Source organism: Homo sapiens, chromosome 11, assembly GCF_000001405.40.
Source record: "Homo sapiens chromosome 11, GRCh38.p14 Primary Assembly".
Lineage (NCBI taxonomy): Eukaryota > Metazoa > Chordata > Mammalia > Primates > Hominidae > Homo > Homo sapiens.
The window spans coordinates 35,680,272-35,706,766 of NC_000011.10; the positions used below are offsets into that span (position 1 = coordinate 35,680,272).

At 40.1% G+C, this 26,495-nt stretch overlaps 1 protein-coding gene across 2 annotated transcripts in view, besides 1 other annotated feature; it reads left to right on the forward strand.

Moving 5' to 3' along the window:
* Positions 1–26,495, forward strand: part of TRIM44 (tripartite motif containing 44) — a 155,233-nt gene that overhangs the window by 17,497 nt on the left and 111,241 nt on the right. For both annotated transcript variants that reach the window (NM_017583.6, XM_006718254.2), the window contains exon 2: positions 4,988–5,065. In NM_017583.6, the coding sequence (NP_060053.2) occupies positions 4,988–5,065 (78 nt within the window). The remainder of the gene's footprint in view (positions 1–4,987; positions 5,066–26,495) is intronic.
* Positions 10,061–10,230: an enhancer, noted in NCBI's record as "experimental_21277 CRE fragment used in MPRA reporter constructs". NCBI's record gives its function as "activates a minimal promoter by MPRAs in K562 erythroleukemia cells, with activity observed for the non-introgressed 11:35711965 variant allele {active_cell/tissue: K562}" and the evidence as "EXISTENCE:reporter gene assay evidence [ECO:0000049][PMID:34662402]".

Sequence of the window (26,495 nt, forward strand, 5' to 3'; positions counted from 1 at the left end):
TATGCTAAATCTTAATTATGCAATTAATAGGAATATATTTAACTCTAAAATCCTTCTATCCTAAGTACCAGTCCCAGCAATAATTGCTTTTCTAATATTCTACATACCTATGTCACTCATAGAAAGTAATAATTTTTTAAAAAACTGTTACATGTACCATTTTGCAAGGTTTTGTTTTTTTTTTTAAATTCAACAATATGTCATGCATTGTATCCAGGTACATACAACCTACCTCATTCTTTTTATTTGCTATGTCGTATTCCACAGTGTGTTAATTCCACAGTTTATTTAGCCACCCAATATTTATGAATCCTTGGGGTGTTTACAGATTTTTAGTATTACAAACAGTGCTGCAATAAATACTTTTGTACATGCATCCTTGACACAGGTGCTAGTCTTCCTCAAGAGGAAAGGAGAAGTGGATTGGTAGGCATGTGATTTCAGAGTGGCAGTTATTTTATATATCCATCAACAACATATGGAAGTCCCCAATTTCCCCAGGGCCTAACACTTGCTGTTATGAGATTAAAATTTATTTCAGGCTGATGGGTAAGAAATTATATTTTAATCATGAGTGAGTCTGAGCATCTTTTGCATGTTTTGATGTGTTTGCATTTCACATTTCTATTTTTTTTAAGACAGGGTCTCGTTTGTTCATTTTTTTTTGGAGATTTCTGTTGGGTTTATTTGGCCTTTTCTTACTGATGTATAGAAATCCCTTATGTGTTTTTTCTGTATTCTTGATACCATGTATATGTTATAAATCTTTTTCATTTAGATCTTTCTGATCTTGGTTTTGTCACTGACCAGCTCTGTGATTTTGGGGACATTGTTTGACATCCACAATGCCATTTTTGTCCATTGTGAAGGAGAATACACTACCTTTTAGTTATTGTATTACTGTGAAATGCCAGTGAAAGAGTATAAGCGCTCTGAGCTTTGGGTTCATTTGATTTTCACCAGCCATTTTTTTCAGCTGTAAAGTGAGAATACACTGCTTTTCAGTGAGATGCCAATGAAAGAGCATATGAAAGTGCTTTGGAGACTAAAGAATACCTTCACATGTACAGCATTTTGTCCTTTGGTTTTATTATGACTCATCCCTAGGAGGTGGCTTCTGTGAAGCATCCTATGCTTCTACAGATTAATCAAATTCTGAGTGGTGGGTGTCACAATGTAGCACTTATCTCTTTTTATTCTACACCTTCTTAGGGGAGGAACAAGGTACATAAACAAGATATGCTCACATTGAACTCCTGTGTTCTTGGAATGCATTGGGTGGGATGGAGGTGGAGAAGTACAGATAGCAGGGGAATCCTACTACTTTGCTAGTCATGTTATGTGCCCCAAGGATTGACAATCATTTCTAAAAATGGAACCAAATGTCTACAAGGTTAGAATTAGGCTGTCTTTTCTTACTATCCTGGTTCACTTCTCAATTAGAACTCAGGTTTCAGAGGCAGCTGTTCTGTTCCACTATCTTTTCTGTTCACTGGTTCCCTAACTATGGAACAAATGAGGATATAATCTCCTGTCTGGCTATCTTTTGACTAATGGCTGTCCTCAGCAAACAAATAATTAACCAAAACATGGTACTATTCTATGGTTTGGGGATACTCAGACTCAGATACCACCACCCTTAGACCCAAACAACCCCATGCCCCTGACCTATGTCCCATACTTTTTTTTTTTTTTTTTTTTTTTTGAAATGCAGTCTCGCTCTGTCACCCAGGCTGGAGTGCAGTGGAGTGATCTTGGCTCACTGTAGCCTCTGCCTCCCAGGTTCAGGCGATTCTCCTGCCTCAGCCTCCCGAGTAGCTGGGCTATGTCCCATGCTTTTGAAGACCCCTCCTGTAGCCATGCCTGTCCCGTTCCGTACCACTCTTCAAGTACCTAGCTACCCAAGAATTACCTGGTAAAATGTCCTGAGCTTGCTTCCAGGGCCTGCAGAGCCTCTCCTTGAGTCCGTCTGCCTGAAGATGGACCAGTTTCTGATACATGTATCCCTAGGTCCCACATGTGTATCATGGGTGACCAAGAGGGGTATTCTCAGCTTGGACCTGCTAGCTTGAACACCTGTGCACAAGGCCCCTTGGGGTGCAGGAAGGGACTGGAATGTGGGGAAAGTGGTGGGAGTGGATTGGGGCCAGAGTCCTCCATTTGGACTCTTGCCCCAGCTCTGCAGCTGTCAGGGTCAGGTCTGCCCCGAGGAGCCTCTGCCTTCTGACCAACTGCTTATTTTATAGATTTTTAAAAAAGCCTTTGGGAAAGGTTTTCTTCACCACTGATTTAGAGACTGAGTATAGCAGGCTCATCATAGAGCCCAGTTAATCTTGGTGAATAATTCACAGAGAGTGGGGTGGGGAGGTGGAACAGGTGAGTTTCCTGAAGGGAGGCTCTCTTAAGTTGCCTCTCCTCTGTCTCTTCCCTGGTTAGGCGATGCTGCTGATGCTTTGTGAAAAGGAGGAAGGATTCTGCTGACACACTGAATTTTTATGAAAGAAGGCTAAGGGTTCCCTTATTCATCCACACGAGGCACATCTGCTTGCAGACAGGCTGTCTGCTTCTTAGGGATTCCTTCGTTGTCGTTTTATTCTTTTCTGAAGGTTTTAAGACACAGTTTGGTGCATTCCTTTCTGTTCTCTAGAGCCAGGGGGAAAGTCATAATATATCAGAGCTCTTGCCGAAGAGCTTAAAATGGGCGCTGGCAGCTGGGATGTGGGGGAAGAGAGCTTTCCAGGGACAAGTGACCTGCTTGTTCAGCCAATGAGAAGCAGGTTAGAGGAATGATATCACCAGACAGGCTTTATTGTCTGATCATCTCGTAAAAGCATGATTGTTTCTGGCAACTTAACCCTTTTTTAGGCACTTCAGGTCTCACCTGCTTCCTGGTATATGACCTCTAAGTTCCTTTTGTCAACTGTCTGCTATGAGACCACAGAGATTAAAGACTAAAATTAGTGGAGGATATAGGGGAGTTGTAAACCATCATTTTAAAAAATAGAACTTATTAAAATTTAGAACCTTTGCTAACATGGAAATGTGATTTAAGCTGTGTTTGGAGAACACATCTAAAGTAGATATTGGTTGTAGTCATGTTGTGTCTGATTTTTACTGTGTAGACTTGAGAGGCAAGAGAGGTCAGAGGGGGGAAAATTGACCCTTTAGTATATTTTAATTTATATAGTGGAATCTTATTAGGTATTTCCTATTTTGGAGGAATTGAAATTAGTTCTGTAAATTTGGAAGATATGTTATCACAGATCCAGAGGCCAATTTTGAGTAAGAGATATTTGCAGTATCTGTTTATTCTTGTACTTCTTTGTTGTCCCTACCCCATAGAAATGACAGTGAGTTTACCTCTTTTTGCTTCCTTTCCCTCATTGGTGAAATGAATGTTCCTACCTATCTGATAGAGTTGTTGAGATAAGAAAATAAATGAATTCCTGTGATTTTAGATTGTCCTATATATAATATAATGTATTATTATTATGGCATTCATGTCTTAAGGTTATATGTTCATTCATTGATTTGTTCAGACTTTTTACAACATCTAGATGCTGGGCATAAGAGATACAGGGATACAAAAAAATACAGTTCTTACCCTTAAGGAACTGAAAATATCACGAGGGAGACAGATAGTAATAAAACTGTTTCATACTTCCTTTTTTATTTACCATGTGCCAGGCTCTGTTCTGAGTACCTTGACATACATTAACTAATTTAATCTTACTGCAGTCCTATGAAATAGATAGTTATTGGCTCTATTTTACAGATAAAGAAATTGAGACAGAGAGAGGGTAAGTAACTTGCCTAAGGTCACACAGCTAGTGTGTGACTAATGGCACTAGGGCTCTAGTCTGTGCTCTAAATCTGTACTGACCAATATAGTAGTCACTAGTCACATGTGGCTTTGGAGCACTTGTAATGTGGCTGGTTTAAATTGATTGGGCTGTAATTGTGAAATACTAGATTTCAAAGACCTAGCATAAAAAAAAATCTCATGTTGAAATTGCATGTTGTAATGATATTTTGAATATACTGAGTTAAGTAAAATACATCAAAATCAATTTTACTTTTTAATTGTGGCAGTTATAAAATTATATACATACGCTTGCATTTGGGACTCACATTAGTCTTTTATTGTACTGTGCTATTCTAAATCATTATACTGTAATAATAGTAATAGCATATGAAATTTTTGAGCACTCACTGTGTGCCACATACTGTGCTAATATCTTTTAAAACACTTTCAGTTAGGCCCCAAAATAGCCCAGTTTATTATCACTATTTTATAGAAGGGGGAGAAGGTTTTGAGACATTTAGTAATTTGCCTGAAATTAATCAACTAGTTAATGGCAAATCCAAAATTGGAACTGTATATGTCTGACTCAAAAACCTGTGAGTTTTATGGGTTTTTTTGGTGTTGAACTCCTGGCCTCAAGCAATGCTCCTGCCTCAGCCTCCTGAGTAGCTGAAATTACAGGTGCAAGCTACCACACCCAGTTAAAAAACCTGTGTTCTTAATCAGCACACTACAGTTCCATTCATAATTAAATTTCAGACTATTTTCTTTGTTTTAATTTTTATAAGTATATTTAATATTGCATACTTCTATATCTGATGCATAAAGGTTCAAAATAAAAATTACCAGTCTGTAAAATAGACATCTTGTATGGAACTGTCTTTTGTAGAGCTTCAGTGAACACCAGCACAGTTGAGCCTGAGATGAAGCAGTGAGTCAGCCTATACAAATTGTATTTAATTTTCATTCCATATAGTTGTGCCAGTCACTGGGCAATTTATGTCCTGACACTCTTTGTCCATAGAGAAGGGAAAGAGGGGCAATGCACCTCTCCTTTGTTGTTTAGCTCTCTTGGCTGTTAAGAAAAAATTGCTTTCTATTTCATTGTCTTCCAAAATGCTGTTTGTGTTTGAGAGAGCAACAAAATGCTGTCTAGTGACCCCTCACTTTTCTTTCTTCTAGAGCAAAGACTCAGGTGGACTGAAGGCCGCTATGATCGAATTGGTGGAAAGGTTGAAGTTCAAGAGCTCAGACCCTAAAGTAAGTATTGTTTGGAATTGATTGGGTGTTGGTACCCCAAGCATTTCATTCTCCTTGAGCTAAAATTGTGAGGTGTTGATGATCATCTCTCTGAATATTGCATTAAGATTTAATTAAGCCTGCCCATCAGAAACAGTGTCCTGATATGCCTAGAGATAAGTCATCTATTTTTCTCCTTCTCTATTTTATGACTTACAACACATAATCATTCATTGTTTTCCCTGAACTGCAGACAGGTGCATTTTTAATCCTCCTTTACCAGGGGTCTTTGAATCTTTGGTCCTCTGTGTCCATTAGATGCAGCCAAAGGCGTCTGAGAGAAATACAGATCATCTTTTTTTTTTTGAGACAGAGTCTCGCTCTGTTGCCCAGGCTGGAGTGCAGTGGCGCAATCTTGGCTCACTACAGCCTCCGCCTGCCGGGTCCAAGCCATTCTCCTGCCTCAGCCTCCTGAGTAGCTGGGATTACAGGCCTGCGCCACCATGCCCTGCTAATTTTTGTATTTTTAGTAGAGACGGGGTTTCACCATGTTGGTCAGGCTGGTCTCGAACTCCTGACCTCGTGATCCGCCCTCCTCGTCCTCCCAAAGTGCTGGGACTACAGGTGTGAGCCACCGCACCAGCTGAGAAATACAGATCATCTTAATGCCAGGGACTGGCATGGGATCCAGACTCATCTAGTTGGTGTTCAGCACTAGCGTCTTATCTCTCCACTGCTTCCAGGAGCCAGCTGCCACTCAGAATACTTTTTTCCTCATGACCTGAAGTCTGGTTTGGAAACTGGTTTAAGTGTCCCGGCTTTTTTTTTTTATTTCAATATGTTAGGGTCTAGAGGATTGATATTCTGGGAGACACCATAACGGGGTGGAGGTAAACGGAACTGAACAGACTTCCTTCTCCTTCCTACCCAGACACTTACTGTGGCACTACCTGGTATTGGGGCCAGCTGGCTTTGCCTTAGAATCAAAGTTTCTCACAATTAAATAGGGAAAGGCGCATGATTTTATTTTACTGTAGGTTCTTTTTGTTTTTGTTTTTGTTTTTTTTTTTTTTAAGAGGAATGGGACTAGCATTTCTTGAGTATCTACTGAGAGTCAGGCACTTTGCTAGGACTCTTACATGATTGTACTAAAATATACATACAAAATTTTAACCATTTTTGAGTGTACAGTTCAATGGCATTAAGTACATTCACTTTGGTTTTTTGTTTGTTTGTTTGTTTTTGTTTTTTGTTTTTTTGAGACGGAATCTCGCTCTGATGCCCAGGTTGGAGTGCAGTGGCATGATCTCGGCTCAGTGCAACCTCTCCCTCCCAGGTTCAAGTGATTCTCCTGCCTCAGCCGCCTGAGTGGCTGAGACTACAGGCACATGCCACCACACCCAGCTAACTTTTTGTGTTTTTACTAGCGACAGAGTTTCACCATGTTGGCCAGGCTGGTTTCGAACTCCTGACCTCAAGTGATCTGCCCGCCTCAGTCTCCCAAAGTGCTGGGATTATGGGCGTGAGCCACCACACCTGGCCACACTTTGTTGTGCAGCCATCATCACTGTCCATCTCTAGAGCTTTTTTACTATCCCAAACTGAAATTCGGTACCCATTAAATGCTAACTTCTCATTCCTGCTCTCCCCTTAAATACTTTTAATTATTTAACAACACTGTAAAGTAGCATTTTCTTCCTACTTTATTGATAAGAACACTGAGGTTTAGAAAGGTAGAATCATCTGCCCAAATCTAATGTAATATAGATGTGGAATTCAAACTCTGACTCCAGTGCCTATACTCTTTATCTTATGTCATGCAAACCAAGCACTGGATTTTATCTCCTTTCTGCCACATGATCACATTGTGCTGCAGTTTTCTAAATTGAAACACAATATGTGGCAGAGCCATAGACTGGTGGGCTCTTCAAAAGGTGGCTGCAGCCACAAGAATAAATTTCTCTTCATATGGCAATGAAAATATCGGGGACATTGGTAAGATCTCTTGTCTTCTGGTGTAGTCAGGGTTCCAGAAGTAGAGAGTTAGGTTGGTAGATAGAAAAAATTAGAGTAACCTTTATCAACTTTCCTAGCTCAAAGTAGGAGGACCCCTGATAAAAGTTTTTCCTTTAGCTAGGATGAACCACTTATTAAAAGTTACTGAAAGCTTTTCTTACCAAGTTTCTCTGGTTTCTGGAGCAACTCCTGTTCTGCAGGAGACAACCATATTCTGATTCCGCCAAACTTATAATTAGCAGTGCAGTGAAGAGGGAGCGGATGTGTACAAATCACACTGAGTGTTCTCTGTGTATGACTATAATACAGGTAAAGTGCTTTGGGATCCTTTATGAATGCATGTAGTGCTTCTGATGGAAAGCTTGCCAGAAAGTGAAAGGTTTGAGCGGTTGCATGAGAGGAATCCCTGGAAGTGTCAGGGTTTTCTCTTGATGCATCATAAGGTAAAGGATATTTGTAAGGACCCGACTTGATCTTGGGTGTGTGTGTATACCTGCACCTCTTTTTTACGTTCTTTTTATTTTGCCCTGGATCATTTACTACCAACCTATTTTATTTTCAAGCCCCTTTTTAGTCTACCACAACCATATGCTGTATATACTTGGAGCCAGCTTGAAGAAGGGTGAACGTAATTGCAGAATGACTGCCAGGTCAGGAATGGGGGTAAAAAACAGGCCACTTAAATATATAATTTCTGCACAAAGAAGATTTTCCTAGAAATAAATTGGCATCTTCCAAGACAACCCTTAAGTTTTTGTCTGTTCTGTTTTCCCACAGAGCCCCACCATCCCCTTTTTGAGTTGGCCTATTTAAGAAGGGCAGAAATCTCTTAGGCTTTGTGACCTGTCATTTCCTGGGCACAGAGGCTTTACATAGAAGCACTGATTGAGTCATGGAGGACTGAGCACTATCTCTGCCTCACTTCCTCTAGAATTCCCTAAAGCATCACAAAGCTTGATTAGTCCAGACACTGAAGCCTATTGGGGAATGAGTTAATTTTTACCTCTTGAGTTTTGCTAGAGAGCAGTAGAAGATGTCTAAATTAATCATTTTTTTAAAATTATAAAATAATACATACTTATAGATTTAAAAATACAGATATTCATAAAGAAAAAGTAAAATCTCCCCTAAGTTAGCCACTGTTAACAGTTTAGTATGTAACCTTCTAGACATTTTTCTATGTAGTACCTTTTCAAAATTCTTTTACAAAATTATACCCATGGTTTTACAATTGCTTTTTCCTTTATGTGGAATATCTTAGATATTCTTCTGTGTCAAAAATATAGACTTGATTCTGTTTAATGAGATGCCTCATTTTATTCAAAACATTTGTCAGACATCTTCTTTTCTTCCAGACCCAGAGGTTCTTAAACTTCAGTGTACATGAAAATCACCCAGAAGACGTATTAAAATATAGAGTGCTGTGCCCACCTCCAGAGTTTTTTATTCAATTGGCCTGGGGTGGCTAGACAATGTTCATTTCTATGAAATTATCAGGTGATGCTGATGTTGCTGTTTCAAGTACCACACTTTGAGAACCTCTGTGCTGTACCTTAGCTGTTTTCCTCTATGTTTGCTAATGATTTTTTTTCACTTCTTTGAACAAGTAGAAGAGCCCCTAGAAATAAGTCCAGGTGATTTCAACTTTGGAAAAAAGGTAGATAAAAATCTAGGCTTATGAAACAAGTTGAGCAGAGGTAGGAAAGGAGTAGGGAGGGGAAAAAGAGGTGGGTTAGGAAGTCAGCTTAGGCTAAAAGGACGGGACTGCTTTACACTGTCACTTCCAACAGAGAATTAGCAAAGCCAAAAAGAGGGAAAGGGATCCTGGTCGGGATTTAGGAGGATGATCAAAGCTCCCTGCCATGGTTGAGGTGTAGGCTGAGTTCTAAAACCAGAGGAAAATCAGGAACAACCAGCCATTATGGGTGAGCCTTAGGAGAGGAATCAGAGCCAGTGATGGTTAAGAAATAGGGTACAAGACCGAATGAAGTTTTGTGCATGGATGTTGCTGTGGTGAGCCCTGTTTTAAAGGGTACATACCTCTGGGCATCTAGAACCCTCTATATCGTGGAAGAAGATTACTTTTAATAACAAACAATCTTTAGTTTGTCAAAACGATTAGTAGGAAATGGTCTTTTACATAATACGCTGTCCTAATGTGTTTGACTTGGTTTAGTTTGCAAACTTTTTTTTCTCCAGCCAAACTTTTCTGAAACACCTATTGCACAAGCAGGATTCTTATCTGTAGATTGAGTACATTTATGGTAGGCTTTAGGGAAATTTTAAAATGTAATCAGTCAGGGGTATGTGTGTATATGTGTGTCTGTACTTGGATTTTTAAGAAATTTAGAGCTTTTTTATTTCTTTATCTTCACAGCTTTCCTTTGTAGTGACTATGCAGTTATCTTTCACAGTTTACTCAGAGGTAACCTAGGCTTGGAAAACACGTTGATTCCCTTTCCTCCCTTCCCCCTGCCCAGTCCTCAGAAAGCATTGAACCAAAAGTACAACATGCTAAGCTCAATCAAACTAACCTCTTATTATGTAGTTAATAACAGCCACTTTCTCTCTATTATGTATTGATTGCTTTTCTTTCCCTCTGATATGCACTGTTCATTGTTTCCTGTAACTGGTGTGCTTGAAGCAAACAGTTAGCACAGTTGTGTGTCTTGAATTCATACTAATCTTATATTCTCAAAAAGAAGCATCTTAAAACTTGAGCCAAGTGGCTCACATTGTTCTGTGTGACTGGAGTGGGATTAAACATGGGATCTGATCATACCCAAGGCTTCCTGAAACAGCAGTTTTTTTTTCCTTTTGTTTCCTCTAGCCTCTAGAGGTATTCTTACTGAAGTGTGAAACCAAAAAATTATCTAGCAGCATGAAATTAGTTAAATAAACCCAAGAATGGTTTTCTTTTTTTATTTCAGCATTTATGTAGCATTTTATAATTGCAAAAGAACTCTGCAATCATTTGTCATAGCTGATATCATTGGCATGGAACACAGCCTAGTCCTTCACTCTTCTGTGATAATCAGATTCTTGTCAAAAAATACAAATTTTAAATGTACAGGTAGTGATGAATATAAGCAAAACCTAATTTGAAATTCTTATTATTGTGTCCTATTGTGTCCCATTATTCACAAGGATCAAGCCAGGCATCATCTTGATCCTTGCCCTGTGCCAAAAAAGAAGTATTCACTGGGGCACTGTTTATTCAACCAGCTGAAGCAGAGAATTGAGATGCCTCAGCTATCAAGTTGTTACATATAGAAGTGTTCCTGTGGTTGATGAGTTACTAGAATTATTGACCCATTTCTGGACTTTTCATTTAAAAAGTTGTAAGTAGGGAATTTTGGAGATCATGAGTTATATTTATTTTATCCCTGTATCTTCAGCCCTTATTAGCATGGAACCTGGCACATAGTAATTGATATGTATTATCTATTACAGCAACCTATAAAAGTAAGTATTTGTCTTGTTTTATGGATGAGCATTCTGAGACTTCAAGGGGTTAAATAGCTTGCTAGTAAGTGGTGGGACCAGGGCTTAACTCGAGATTTGTCTCACTTCATGTTCTTCACCCATACACTGTTATTGAATTCATGGGTAAATAGATGTATATATAGCCTGGCATCCCTAGCAATGTGACCCTTAACTGATTATTTTTTTAATCACACTCTTCTTCTACCTCCCTTTACTGGGATCCTGTGCCATAGCACAGTCCCCCACAGCTCCAGAGAACCAGGACTGGAGAATGGCCTTTTCCAACAGAAAATGTGGGGAGATGGCAAAAAAGCCATAACCCTCAGAGCATTTAGCCCTCGCTAAATGAAGAACTGAGGCAAGTGCTTCCACAGTTTGACCCGATTAGTGAAGGACACTAAATGGGAAAAATACCTGTGCTCCCTCAGTCTTGCTCTAGGAAGAAGTAAATGTGGCCCCTTTTTATCCTCTCTAGACACTTGGGCAGGAGAAAAAGGAGAAACAAGCTCTTTCCCTCCTTCACCATTCCCCTGGCTTTATCAAAACAAAACAGCTTACCCCTCTCATCCTCCCCTACCCAATTATAAAAGAAATACAGTTGCTCCTTGACTTACAATGGGATTACATCCCAATAAACCCATTATAAGTTGAAAATATTATGTCAAAAATGCATTTAGTACATCCAACCTACTGAACATCATAGCTTAGCCTACCTTAAACGTGTGCAGGACACTTACATTAGTCTATAGTTGGGCAAAATAATCTAACCAAAGCCTATTTCATAATAAAGTGTTGAATAGGCTTATTTATTTTATTTTCATTTATTTATTTATTTGTCTATTTTTGAGACAGAGTCTTGCTGTGTTGCCCAGGCTGGAGTGCAGTGGCATGATCTCGAGTTACTGTAAGCTCCACCTCCCAGGTTCACACCATTCTCCTGCCTCAGCCTCCCAAGTAGTTGGGACTATAGGCGCCCGCCACCATGCCCAGCTAATTTTTTTGTATTTTTAGTAGAGACGGGGTTTCACTGTGTTAGCCAGAATGGTCTCGATCTCCTGACCTCGTGATCCACCTGTCTTGGCCTCCCAAAGTGCTGGGATTACAGGCGTGAGCCACCATGCCTGGCTGAATAGGCTTACTTTTAAAGTAAAAAGCAGAATAGTTGTATAGGTACTTGAAGTAGTTTCTATTGAATGTGTAGCACGTTTGCACCATCATAAAGTAGAAAAACCGTAAGTCAAACCATTGTATGGGGACTATCTGTATATGTTTTCAGTAGAAAAATGTAGAAGACCCAAGTATAAAGAAGAAAGAAATAAAATCGCCCATTTTTTTTTTATCCTTGCAGTGGTTTGTAAACTTTGGGTACTTACTTTTTATAAAGAAATGCAGATTCTTGAGCCTCACTCAAAGCATCTGATTTTGTGGTTCTGATATATGCTTTTTAAATATGCAACCTGGATGATTCTCATGCACATGGTCATGTGCATTCTTTTGAGACCATACTTGGAGGTGAAAGACACCTATGGAAAAAACTGGGTAATATTATGGTTCTTTGTCTTTTGTGCATAAAATGGTATTATAGATTGAGTATCCCTTATCTGAAATGTTTGGAACCAGAAGTATTTTGAATTTTGGATTTTCAAATATTTGTGTTATGCTAGTTGAGCTTCCCTAATCTGAAAATCTGCAATCTGAAATGCTTCAGTGAGCGTTTCCTTTGTCAGTGCTCAAAGAATTTTGGAGTTTGGAGGATTTCAGATTTTGGAGTTTTGGATTTGGGACGTTTAACCTGGATTATATATTGTTAGAAGAAAAACTTCAGGGCCAGGTGCGGTGGCTCACGCCTGTAATCCCAACACTTTGGGAGGCCAAGGCAGGCGGATCATGAGGTCAGGAGATCGGGACCATCCTGGCAACACAGTGAAACCTCATCTCTACTAAAAATACAAAAAATTAGCCAGGCATGGTGGTGGGCGCCTGTAGTCCCAGCTCCTTGGGAGGCTGAGGCAGGAGAATGGTGTGAACCCAGGAGGCAGAGCTTGCAGTGAGCCGAGATCATGCCACTGCACTCCAGCCTGGGCGACAGAGCAAGATTCCGTCTCAAAAAAAAAAAAAGAAAAAGAAAAACTTTAGCCGAATTAAATTTTAGGGACTTTAATTGAGCAATGGACGATTCTTGAGTTGGGCAGCCCCCCAGAATCACAGCAGATTCAGAGAGACTCCAGGGGTGCCTCGTGGTCAGAACAAATTGGTAGACAATAAGTGACATAAAGAAATCAGAAGTGAGGTACAGAAATACTGGTTGAAGTATGGCTGCTGGGATTGGCCAAGACTCAGCGATTGTAACAGGCACATACTCCTAAGTTAGGTTTTCAATCTTGTCTACCTATTAAGTTAGGTTGTAGTTCATCCACAAAGACTCAAATATAGAAGTACGGAGTCCTTCTCAGGCCATATTTAGTTTGCTTTAACAATTCCCCCCTTTTGGTCATTTTCTCAATTTTGAGAGATTGACTAAAACTTTAGTCACTGATGTCAGTATTACCATCATAAATGTACTTCATTTGGTCTTGAAACCCACTGAGAAACAGTAGAACAGTGAGTCTTGCAAAGATAGGCACAGAGACTGAGTAGTGGGTACCTCTTTATGCTGGAGTATACTGTTTGCAGGAGAAAAACAAAACCCGGTCCTTTCTGTCTAGGATCTATGTTTCTTTAAAGTCTTAGTTTGATTGGGTCACATTTAGCATGAGCGACTCCATTTTTGTTTGGTTTGGTCTGTTGGGGCCTAGTACATGAGCTTAGTCCAAAACAATGGCCTCCCATAGTTTTGTTTTAAAAAATTTCCCCTTTTGACCAGGTTCTCACTTAGGTGAGTGTAACCAAAACTTAGAGCCTCAGCACCACCCTCAGTTACCATCATTTTGGGTTTCCAGTCTCAGCATGTCATTCATAGGTTATGGTGTCCTATAATATTTCTTTCAGCTCTTGTCATTCCAGTTGAAGAGAGACCATTTGACATTCTGGAGATGGCTGTATGCAAACATTTAAAACGTTGGAAAGAATAGAGTGCGCTAGGGAGACTATTATGACTATTGGGAGGATAATACCAAGAGTTTGGAGTATGCTCCTTACCCAGGGTCCCCATAAACCAAACCACCTAAAATCAAATAGATCAAAGAATGAGCTAACCAGTCTACTCACTTAACTAAGCAGTCTCTTCATTAATCCTCTAAAACTGAATCTCTACAATACCAGATTTTTTCTCCATAGGACACAACTGCCAACAGCTGCACATACACAGATACTTTTCTTTTAGCCAATTCTATTATTTAGCTTAACTTTCACAAGAGAATTTAAAGTCTGTTGTGTAACCATAGCCTTTACAGAAGAATCCGCTATAGAGCCGATTACGTGGGATACGTTTCTAATCATTGCCTTTTTTATTCCAAATCATGGACAAAGGACCTAACAAATGATGCCCTTCTAGAAGAGTGAAAGCTTCCTGGCAGTGTTCTCTTTAATTCATGATGTGAATTAAGAAGAGTGAATTAATGTTATGTTTCTGACTGATGATGAGGCAACGTATGTACCATTAAAGTTTCTCACCTACATTGGGCCTTCATCTTTTACCTTATAAAGTATAAGGTTATCCATGAATAAGGCTGGCTGCAAAATCCTTCACAAATAAAAGTATACCCTATAAGTGCACACAACAGACCCCCTTTTCATTTGTTTTGTTCATAGAAGCATAAACAAGAAAAAATATTCAAAGATAAGAGTCTTATGATAGTAGAAGTCTTGATCTGTGATCATGGGAAAAGCTGTTCACATCAAGGATGCCGTTTTCTGGGGAGAGACTTACCTGGTTAGCTTTACCCTAAGGGTTTCAATGAGTGCACATTTTTAAGAGTGAGGAGGGACCCTTCTCAGTTGTGAGATTATGAATCCAAAATTCAGGGTTCCAAAGTTTTGCTGCAATGTGGATGGCAAGGACAGTCTTTCTCTGATGTTCTTAGATGATCCGGTCTTTGGGTTCTAGATTGTGAAGGGGTTGACTGTCCTCAGTGAACCATAAAAAAGCTTCCTGGTGAAAATACACTGTAGCATAATAACTTAGTGTTATAACATTAGTCCTCTTGCATGGGGAGAGCTTTTATGCAACCAGAAAACATGCATTGAAAATAACAGTTGAATGAAATCTTTTTATAAAATGTTTAAATGGCCCATCAGGTGACCAGATGTACCTGAAGCTTTGATTGTTTTCCTAGGAATATAGGACCAAACATTGTTTATAAACTATTTTAGCAATTTGTAAGTCACCACACCAATATATTCAATTTGGATCATTTTTATCTTCTCTACGACGAGTCATGGAATGCTTTAAGGACTCAGGAAGGACAAGGTGCCCATCCTCGTTCTCCATGAGTCCATGCTTAATTAACATTAGACTTATGTCCTCTTGAATACCAGTAGTTTCTTCAAACTATGTGAATAGCACTAATAACTGATGGGTTATCTTGGGTAATTTGACTTAGACCTTAGAGTTCATTCATATTGTGTATCTAAACAATTTCAGTATTAGCTGATTTTGCATTAAAATCTGGCAATTTTCTTGATATTTAATTAATTTTTGTTCTGCTTGGGTTAGCAGTTTTATAAACCAGTCCGTCTTTTCATTGAAGTTCCAGGAATTCTTACCCAGTTCAAATGATATGATTCTGAAGTTATTAGAAACCTGTATTTAAGAGTGCTTTTTAGGATCCTTTTCATCCTTTCCTGAACCTCCTAAAAGACACCATATTCTAGGATTTTGTGTGCTCATGAAGTTTTCAGAAACTGCATCAGCATTAAGCAATTAACTGTGGGAATGACTTTAAATCATTATAGATGAAAACACAATTGACAAGGAAATTTGGTTATTTCTGTGGTCTACAATAACTTAACATAATAACCACAGTTATGATTAATAGCATATACTCAGACATATTAGAATTATAGAGATCTCGTACAACTTTGTAACATATGTTAATATCACTCACTAAAATATAATCTGAAGAAGATTAAACTTTTTTTTTTTTTTTTGACAATGCTTCCCATGTAACATGTCAAATCTGTAATCTGTTTACCTCTCTTTTGGATGCTTTCGGGGCCCTCTGTAGCATTTCAGTGTTAGAGGAAAGAAAAGGCAATTTTGAAGCTGAAATTTGATTTTGGTACCCCATCAAATATGTTAAAGGTTTAAAACACTTGATACTATGAAATAGAATTCCAGGTTACCGTAAGTCATTCATTTAGCCAAAATGATGAGTCAAATTTTTTTTTTTTTTTTTTTTGAGACGGAGTCTCGAGATGCTCTGTCGCCCAGTCTGGAGTGCAGTGGTGCAATCTCAGCTCACTGCAAGCTCCGCCTCGGGTTCATGCCATTCTCCTGCCTCAGCCTCCTGAGTAGCTGGGACTACAGGTGCCCGCTACCATGCCCAGCTAATTTTTTTGTATTTTTAGTACAGACGGGGTTTCACCATGTTAGCCAGGATGGTCTCGATCTCCTGACCTCGTGATCCACCTGTCTCGGCCTCCCAAAGTGCTGGGAATACAGGCGTGAGCCGCCGCAAGCAGCCGTCAAAAATTTTTTAAAAGCTAAAACCTTTACTCACTGATAGAGTGAAGACTTAACTTTCCGAATCATCTGTCTCTTGTCTTTCCCCCAGCCCCTTTTTTGGTAGTTTATTTAAAGGCAAACAAAGGCCAAGCGCAGTGGCTCATGCCTCTAATCCCAGCACTTTGGGAGGCCGAGGCGGGTGGATCACGAGGTCAAGAGATCAAGATCATCCTGGCCAACGTGGTGAAACCCCATCTCTACTAAAAATACAAAAATTAGCTGGGCATCATGGTGCATGCCTGTAATCCCAGCTGCTTGGGAGGCTGAGGTAGGAGAATTGCTTGAACCCAGGAGGCGGAGGTTGCGGTGAGCCGAGATCATGCCATTGCACTCCAGCCTGAGCAACAAGAGTGAAACTCTGTCCAAAAAAAAAAACAACAATTAATTAATTAATTAATTAAATAAAAGGCAAACAAAAATGTTTCATTATCTTTTAATATTACATGAAAATCTTGTTCAAGAGAGAAAGCCAAATTTCACTGTTGTACTACTGTACTATTAATGTCAACCGCAATTTATAATAAAACCTTAAAGACAAATCTTTCCAATCTTAGTTTGACCATAAGGTGAGATTTTCATAAACCTTTTTTTTTTATTATACTTTAAATTTTAGGGTACATGTGCACAACGTGCAGGTTTGTTACATATGTATACATGTGCCATGTTGGTGTGCTGCACCCATTAACTCGTCATTTAGCATTAGGTATATCTCCTAATGCTATCCCTCCCCCTCCCCCCACCCCACAACAGGCCCCGGTGTGTGATGTTCCCCTTCCTGTGTGCATGTGTTCTAATTGTTGAGTTCCCACCTATGAGTGAGAACATGCAGTGTTTGGTTTTCTGTCCTTGTGATAGTTTGCTGAGAATGATGGTTTCCAGCTGCATCCATGTCCCTACAAAGGACATAAACTCATCCTTTTTTATGGCTGCATAGTATTCCATGGTGTATATGTGCCACGTTTTCTTTTTTTTTTTTAATTTTATTATACCTTTAAGTTTTAGGGTACATGTGCACAATGTGCAGGTTTGGTACATATGTATACATGTGCCACGTTGGTGTGCTGCACCCATTAACTGGTCATTTAGCATTAGGTATATCTCCTAATGCTATCCCTCCCCGCTCCCCACACCCCACAACAGTCCCCAGAGTGTGATGTTCCCCTTCCTGTGTCCATGTGTTCTCATTGTTCAATTCCCACCTATGAGTGAGAATATGCGGTGTTTGGTTTTTTGTCCTTGTGATAGTTTGTTGAGAATGATGGTTTCCAGTTGCATCCATGTCCCTACAAAGGACATGAACTCATCATTTTTTATGGCTGCATAGTATTCCATGGTGTATATGTGCCACATTTTCTTAATCCAGTCTATCGTTGTTGGACATTTGGATTGGTTCCAAGTCTTTGCTATTGTGAATAGTGCCGCAATAAACATACGTGTGCATGTGTCTTTATAGCAGCATGATTTATAGTCCTTTGGGTATATACCCAGTAATGGGATGGCTGGGTCAAATGGTATTTCTAGTTCTAGATCCCTGAGGAATCACCACACTGACTTCCACAGTGGTTGAACTAGTTTACACTCCCACCAACAGTGTAAAAGTGTTCCCATTTCTCCACATCCTCTCCAGCACCTGTTGTTTCCTGACTTTTTAATGATCGCCATTCTAACTGGATGTGCCACATTTTCTTAATCCAGTCTATCATTGTTGGACATTTGGGTTGGTTCCAAGTCTTTGCTATTGTGAATAGTGCCACAATAAACATACATGTGCATGTGTCTTTATAGCAGCATGATTTATAATCCTTTGGGTACATACCCAGTAATGGGATGGCTGGGTCAAATGGTATTTCTAGTTCTAGATCCCTGAGGAATCGCCACACTCACTGACTTCCATAATGGTTGAACTAGTTTACAGTCCCACCAACACTGTAAAAGTGTTCCTATTTCTCCACATCCTCTCCAGCACCTGTTGTTTCCTGACTTTTTAAATGATCGCCATTCTAACTGGTGTGAGATAGTATCTCATTGTGGTTTTGATTTGCATTTCTCTGATGGCCAGTGATGATGAGCATTTTTTCATGTGTCTTTTGGCTGCATGAATGTCTTCTTTTGAGAAGTGTCTGTTCATATCCTTTGCCCACTTTTTGATGGGGTTGTATTTTTCTTGTAAATTTGCTTGAGTTCATTGTAGATTCTGGATATTAGCCCTTTGTCAGATGAGTAGGTTGCAAAAATTTTCTCCCATTTTGTAGGTTGCCTGTTCACTCTGATGGTAGTTTCTTTTGCTGTGCAGAAGCTCTTTAGTTTAATTAGATCCCATTTGTCAATTTTGGCTTTTGTTGCCATTGCTTTTGGTGTTTTAGACGTGAAGTCCTTGCCCATGCCTGTGTCTTGAATGGTATTGCCTGGGTTTTCTAGGATTTTTATGGTTTTAGGTCTAACATGTAAGTCTTTAATCCATCTTGAATTAATTTTTGTATAAGGTGTAAGGAAGGGATCCAGTTTCAGCTTTCTACATATGGCTAGCCAGTTTTCCCAGCACCATTTATTAAATAGGGAATCCTTTCCCCATCTCTTGTTTTTGTCAGGTTTGTCAAAGATCAGATAGTTGTAGATTAGCGGCATTATTTCTGAGGGTTCTGTTCTGTTCCATTGGTCTGTATATCTGTTTTGGTACCAGTACCATGCTGTTTTGGTTACTGTAGCCTTGTAGTATAGTTTGAAGTCAGGTAGCGTGATGCCTCCAGCTTTGTTCTTTTGGCTTAGGATTGACTTGGCAATGGGCTTCATCCCTGGGATGCAAGTCTGGTTCAACATACGCAAATCAATAAACATAATCCAGCATATAAACAGAACCAAAGACAAAAATTACATGATTATCTCAATAGTTACAGAAAAGACCTTTGACAAAATTCAACAACCCTTCATGCTGAAAACTCTCAATAAATTAGGTATTGATGGGACGTATCTCAAAATAATAAGAGCCATCTATGACAAACCCACAGCCAATATCATACTGAATGGGCAAAAACTGGAAGCATTCCCTTTGAAAACTGGCACAAGACAGGGATGCCCTCTCTCACCACTCCTATTCAACATAGTGTTGAAAGTCCTGGCCAGGGCAATCAGGCAGGAGAAGGAAATAAAGGGTATTCAGTTAGGAAAAGAGGAAGTCAAATTGTCCCTGTTTGCAGATGACATGATTGTATATCTAGAAAATGCCGTCGTCTCAGCCCAAAATCTCCTTAAGCCCATAGGCAACTTCAGCAAAGTCTCAGGATACAAAATCAATGTGCAAAAATCACAAGCATTCTTATACACCAATAACAGACAAACAGCCAAATCATGAGTGAACTCCCATTCACAATTGCTTCAAAGAGACTAAAATATCTAGGAATCCAACTTACAAGGGACGTGAAGGAGCTCTTCAAGGAGAACTACAAACCACTGCTCAGTGAAATAAAAGAGGATACAAAGAAATGGAAGAACATTCCATGCTCATGGGTAGGAAGAATCAATATCGTGAAAATGGCCATACTGCCCAAGGTAATTTATAGATTCAATGCCATCCCCATGAAGCTACCAATGACTTTCTTCACAGAACTGGAAAAAACTACTTTAAAGTTCATACGGAACCAAAAAAGAGCCTGCATTGCCAAGTTTCATAAACCTTTTATAGCCCTTTACTAATTTTTGTTTAAGAGCAGATCAGTGCTTTAAGTGCTTAAGAAAACCCTGTTTGTGCTTTTATTTCTATGTTCAATTTACTGATAAACCAGCAAATACTGCTTTAAATTTAGTCAAGGTGTTCACACACAGAATTTTTTTTTACAAGATTAATTTTTACAAGCCTTCCACAACTTGTTCAAACCTTTAGCTTATTCTTATCTAATTTAAAACAATCCTTTAACCCTCCAAACAAGGCAAAAATTTACATTCCCATGCCTTGTAATCTTTTACCAAATGTACATTTCATTCTCCTCACACACCTTGCTTGTAAAACTATTTTTTCAGTAGTCTCAATCATATGTTATAATGGTGACTCTTAGCAACTTTTACTTTTGGTGCATACATTTCCTTTCATGAATCCTTTCACAACAACACAGACCATCTATGTCATGTGTGGATTTTCCAACTTATCCTAAACATCCCTCTCTTTAAACAACCAGTTATTTTACTTTAGGACAAGAATTACCCATAAAAAATCCTTTCTTATATAAAATCTCTTTTCTTTATAACCTTCTTTGCATAGCTAGGGGGCGTGGCTAATTCCATATGTCCCCGGGACTTATCTACAATATAATGCTCCAAAGTAGGTAAATTGAAGAATTTTTAAAAGCAGTTTTAATTTCCCAAAGATTACTAAAGTTATGGAACTACAACATTACTGTTTTTATTTTTCTGACAAAATATTTAAGGGCGTATTCTTAAAGTCAATTAATTAGAGCTGTTTTATATAAACATTACACACACGATACATGTATAACTACACAGAAGATTCAGTAGTTGTAAGATTTTTCATTTGCCAGTTTTGAATTTTTTTTTAATTGGATTACTGGGTTTAGGGTGGAGTCCTTGGAAGAACAGGGCCGGGAAAGCATGCAGTTTCTAAGGCCTAATATAATAAGCAGGCACAGCTGGAAGGCAAAACAAGTCCCCCAAAATTAAGGGTCCCATTTTTATACCAGATCCTGGATCCCAAAAGGAACAGAGCCTTAGATTTTGGGTAGATCTATCCATTTCCAATTCCTGGGGTTCCATGAGGAAAACAGGTCTGTTTTTTTTCCCCCCGAAACGGGGTCTTTTGCGCAGCCTGTTTTTCCCAAGGAGTCCCAGGCTGTTAGAGCTTGAATATCTGCTTGTAATTAAGCTGACGTTTAACTATAGTGCTCTTTAAAAAAAAAAAGTCCTTTTGAATATTACCCAACTTTGGCTAGGCCAAATGACCAATTTCTGTGCTCAGAAAAAGGAAAATTTAAGATAGTTAATGGAGGGAAAAAGAATCAACAAATGATAAAGGTCATGCAGATCTCAAACCAGAAAGTACTCATTCCCTAAGCTGGGAATTGAACCCTGAACCCAGGCTGCCATTGTGGAAAGAGAAACCACAGTCACGTGGTTACAAGGTCGAGCTCCCAAGGACATAACTGACCAGTTTTCTGGGCTGTCTTGAACAGCAGGCTTATGGGGTCCTAGGCACGCATTTTATCCTAAGGTACCCCTCTTTATGACAAAACAATACAGAAAGACGCAAAGCATACTGGATTCACTACAGCTTAAGACCAGCCTCAGAATTCTTTTTTTGTATTAACCCAAACTTTATAGAGGAGATAAACAGTGACTTTTACGATTCATTTAACCAGTTTGCACAGAGAGAGAGAGGCCAGAGTCTGACTGGTAAGTAGTTCTTACCATTTTGCTGGCAGGCCAGACTTCTGGGTTCCTTTTCCCAGAGAGGCCCTAGTGACCCTGCTTACTACACTATAACCCTGGGGGCCAAGCTGTATCATAAAGGAAAATCATCTTTTTTGTTTCATGGATCCATAGCAAAAGCCTCTCAATTTTGCAAGTTGCCACCCAAGGGGTTATATGGGGTAACCCAGTCAACATTTTTCATTCTGGCCAGAGGAATATACATGTGACTAAACCTAGAAATAAGCCACTCTGCTTAGCACTCAATATTGAACTGGCAGGACTCAAACTTGCCCTTGGTTGGACCCTGTCACCTTTATTCCATTTTTAACCAAGAAGGACTTTACTTCCCATGAGACCCTGGCTTTCTGCTGCACATTCAGAATCACTCGCCCACGCTCCGGGAGGGCAGCGAGGGTGTGGGCGGCCCGTGCGCATCCACCGTTCTTTGACCCTATCCCACGCCAGCTTGTGTGGCTGCGGAGTGGGCACATCCCTGGACTGAGAGTGCCTTGAGGAAAAGGGCTGCCCTCCTGTTTCTGCGATTAAGGATGCCTATGAACGGAATCTGCCGTATCAGTGGACATTTTTGTGTTTAAAAGGAGAACGCATCTTTATTGAGCGCCAGCTGTGACTCAAGCACTCACAGCAAATCCTGTGAAGTGATGTTACAGCAGATTCTAGGAAGTAAGACCCTCCCTAAGGCCTGGAACTTTCTGGTGTTGCCATGCATATTGTAGATGGCATGTGTGTGAAATTTTGCACATAGTTTGTGCGTGTGTGTATTTCATTCACAGTTTCTTGAAGCCTAGGCTAAAAAAATTTCATTAACAATCAAGTGTCATTAATAGACGATACAATAGTTCTTATAAAACATACACTGAAAGATGGCCGAATAGGAACAGCTCCAGTCTACAGCTCCCAGCGTGAGCAACGCAGAAGACGGGTGATTTCTGCATTTCCATCAGAAGTACCGGGTTCATCTCACTAGGGAGTGCCAGACAGTGGGCGCAGGACAGTGGGTGCAGCGCACCATGCACGAGCCGAAGCAGGGCGAGGCATTGCCTCACTTGGGAAGCGCAAGGGGTCAGGGAGTTCCCTTTCCTAGTCAAAGAAAGGGGTGACAGACAGCACCTGGAAAATCGGGTCACTCCCACCCTAATACCGCGCTTTTCCGACGGGCTTAAAAAACGGCGCACCAGGAGATTATATCCCGCACATGGCTCGGAGGGTCCTATGCCCACAGAGTCTCGCTGATTGCTAGCACAGCAGACTGAGATAAACCTGCAAGGCGGAAGCAAGGCTGAGGGAGGGGTGCCCGCCATTGCCCAGGCTTGGTTAGGTAAACAAAGCAGCCGGGAAGCTTGAACTGGGTGGAGCCCACCACAGCTCAAGGAGGCCTGCCTGCCTCTGTAGGCTCCACCTGTGGGGGCGGGGCACAGACAAACAAAAAGACAGCAGTAACCTCTGCAGACTTAAATATCCCTGTCTTTGACAGCTTTGAAGAGAGCAGTGGTTCTCTCAGCATGCAGCTGGAGATCTGAGAATGGGCAGACTGCCTCCTCAAGTGGGTCCCTGACCCCTGACCCCCGAGCAGCCTAACTGGGAGGCACCCCCCAGTAGGGGTAGACTGACACCTCACACGGCCGGGTACTCCCCTGAGACAAAACTTCCAGAGGAACGATCAGACGGCAGCATTCGCGGTTCACAAAAATCCGCTGTTCTGCAGCCACCGCTGCTGGTACCCAGGCAAACAGGATCTGGAGTGGACCTCTAGCAAACTCCAACAGACCTGCAGCTGAGGGTCCTGTCTGATAGAAGGAAAACTAACAAACAGAAAGGACATCCACACCAAAAACCCATCTGTACATCACCATCATCAAAGACCAAAAGTAGATAAAACCACAAAGATGGGAAAAAAACAGCAGAAAAACTGGAAACTCTAAAAAGTAGAGTGCCTCTCCTTCTCCAAAGGAACACAGCTCCTCACCAGCAACGGAACAAAGCTGGATGGAGAATGACTTTGACGAGTTGAGAGAAGAAGGCTTCAGACGATCAAACTACTCCGAGCTACAGGAGGAAATTCAAACCAAAGGCAAAGAAGTTGAAAACTTTGAAAAAAATTTAGACGAATGTATAACTAGAATAACCAATACAGAGAAGTGCTTAAAGGAGCTGATGGAGCTGAAAGCCAAGGCTCGAGAACTACGTGAAGAATGCAGAAGCCTCAGGAGCCGATGCGATCAACTGAAAGAAAGGGTATCAGTGATGGAAGATGAAATGAAGGAAATGAAGCAAGAAGGGAAGTTTAGAGAAAAAAGAATAAAAAGGAACGAACAAAGCCTCCATGAAATATGGGACTATGTGAAAAGACCAAATCTACGTCTGATTGGTGTACCTGAAAGTGATGGGGAGAATGGAACCAAGTTGGAAAACACTCTGCAGGATATTATCCAGGAGAAACTTCCCCAATCTAGCAAGGCAGGCCAACATTCAGATTCAGGAAATACAGGGAACGCCACAAAGATACTCCTCGAGAAGAGCAACTCCAAGACACATAATTGTCAGATTCACCAAAGTTGAAATGAAGGACAAAATGTTAAGGGCAGCCAGAGAGAAAGGTCGGGTTACCCACAAAGGGAAGCCCATCAGACTAACAGCGGATCTCTCGGCAGAAACTCTACAAGCCAGAAGAGAGTGGGGGCCAATATTCAACATTCTTAAAGAAAAGAATTTTCAATCCAGAATTACATATCCAGCCAAACTAAACTTCATAAGCGAAGGAGAAATAAAATACTTTACAGACAAGCAAATGCTGAGAGATTTTGTCACCACCAGGCCTGCCTTACAAGAGCTCCTGAAGGAAGCACTAAACATGCAAAGGAACAACCGGTACCAGCCACTGCAAAATCATGCCAAGTTGTAAAGACCATCGATGCTCGGAAGAAACTGCATCAACTAATGAGCAAAATAACCAGCTAACATCATAATGACAGGATCAAATTCACACATAACAATATTAACTTTAAATGTAAATGGACTAAATGCTCCAATTAAAAGACACAGACTGGCAAATTGGATAAAGAGTCAAGACCCATCAGTGTGCTGTATTCAGGAAACCCATCTCACGTGCAGAGACACACATAGGCTCAAAATAAAAGGATGGAGGAAGATCTACCAAGCCAATGGAAAACAAAAAAAGGCAGGGGTTGCAATCCTAGTCTCTGATAAAACAGACTTTAAACCAACAAAGATCAAAAGAGACAAAGAAGGCCATTACATAATGGTAAAGGGATCAATTCAACAAGAAGAGCTAACTATCCTAAATATATATGCACCCAATACAGGAGCACCCAGATTCATAAAGCAAGTCCTGAGTGATCTACGAAGAGACTTAGATTCCCACACAATAATAATGGGAGACTTTAACACCCCACTGTCAACATTAGACAGATCAACGAGACAGAAAGTTAGCAAGGATACCCAGGAATTGAACTCAGCTCTGCACCAAGTGGACCTAATAGACATCTACAGAATTCTCCACCCCAAATCAACAGAATATACATTCTTTTCAGCACCACACCACACCTATTCCAAAATTGACCACATAGTGGGAAGTAAAGCTCTCCTCAGCAAATGTAAAAGATCAGAAATTATAGCAAACTGTCTCTCAGACCACAGTGCAATCAAACTAGAACTCAGGATTAAGAAACTCACTCAAAACTGCTCAACTACATGGAAACTGAACAACCTGCTCCTGAATGACTACTGGGTACATAACAAAATGAAGGCAGAAATAAAGATGTTCTTTGAAACCAACGAGAACAAAGACACAACATACCAGAATCTCTGGGACACATTCAAAGCAGTGTGTAGAGGGAAATTTATAGCACTAAATGCCCACAAGAGAAAGCAGGAAAGATCCAAAATTGATACCCTAACATCACAATTAAAAGAACTAGAAAAGCAAGAGCAAACACATTCAAAAGCTAGCAGAGGCAAGAAATAACTAAAATCAGAGCAGAACTGAAGGAAACAGAGACACAAAAAAACCTTCAAAAAATTAATGAATCCAGGAGCTGGTTTTTTGAAGGGATCAACAAAATTGATAGACTGCTAGCAAGACTAATAAAGAAGAAAAGAGAGAAGAATCAAATAGACACAATAAAAAATGATAAAGGGGATATCACCACCGATCCCACAGAAATGCAAACTATCATCAGAGAATACTACAAACACCTCTACGCAAATAAATTAGAAAATCTAGAAGAAATGGATAAATTCCTTGACACATGCACCCTCCCAAGACTAAACCAGGAAGAAGTTGAATCTCTGAATAGACCAATAACAGGCTCTGAAATTGTGGCAACAATCAATAGCTTACCAACCAAAAAGAGTCCAGGACCAGATGGATTCACAGCCGAATTCTACCAGAGGTACAAGGAGTAAATGGTACCGTTCCTTCTGAAACTATTCCAATCAATAGAAAAAGAGGGAATCCTCCCTAACTCATTTTATGAGGCCAGCATCATCCTGATACCAAAACCGGGCAGAGATACAACCAAAAAAAAGAATTTTAGACCAATATCCTTGATGAACATCGATGCAAAAATCCTCAATAAAATACTGGCAAACCGAATCCAGCAGCACATCAAAAAGCTTATCCATCATGATCGAGTGGGCTTCATCCCTGGGAAGCAAGGCTGGTTCAATATACGCAAATCAATAAATGTAATCTAGCATATAAACAGAACCAAAGACAAAAACCACATGATTATCTCAATAGATGCAGAAAAGGCCTTTGACAAAATTCAACAACCCTTCATGCTAAAAACTCTCAATAAATTAGGTATTGATGGGACATATCTCAAA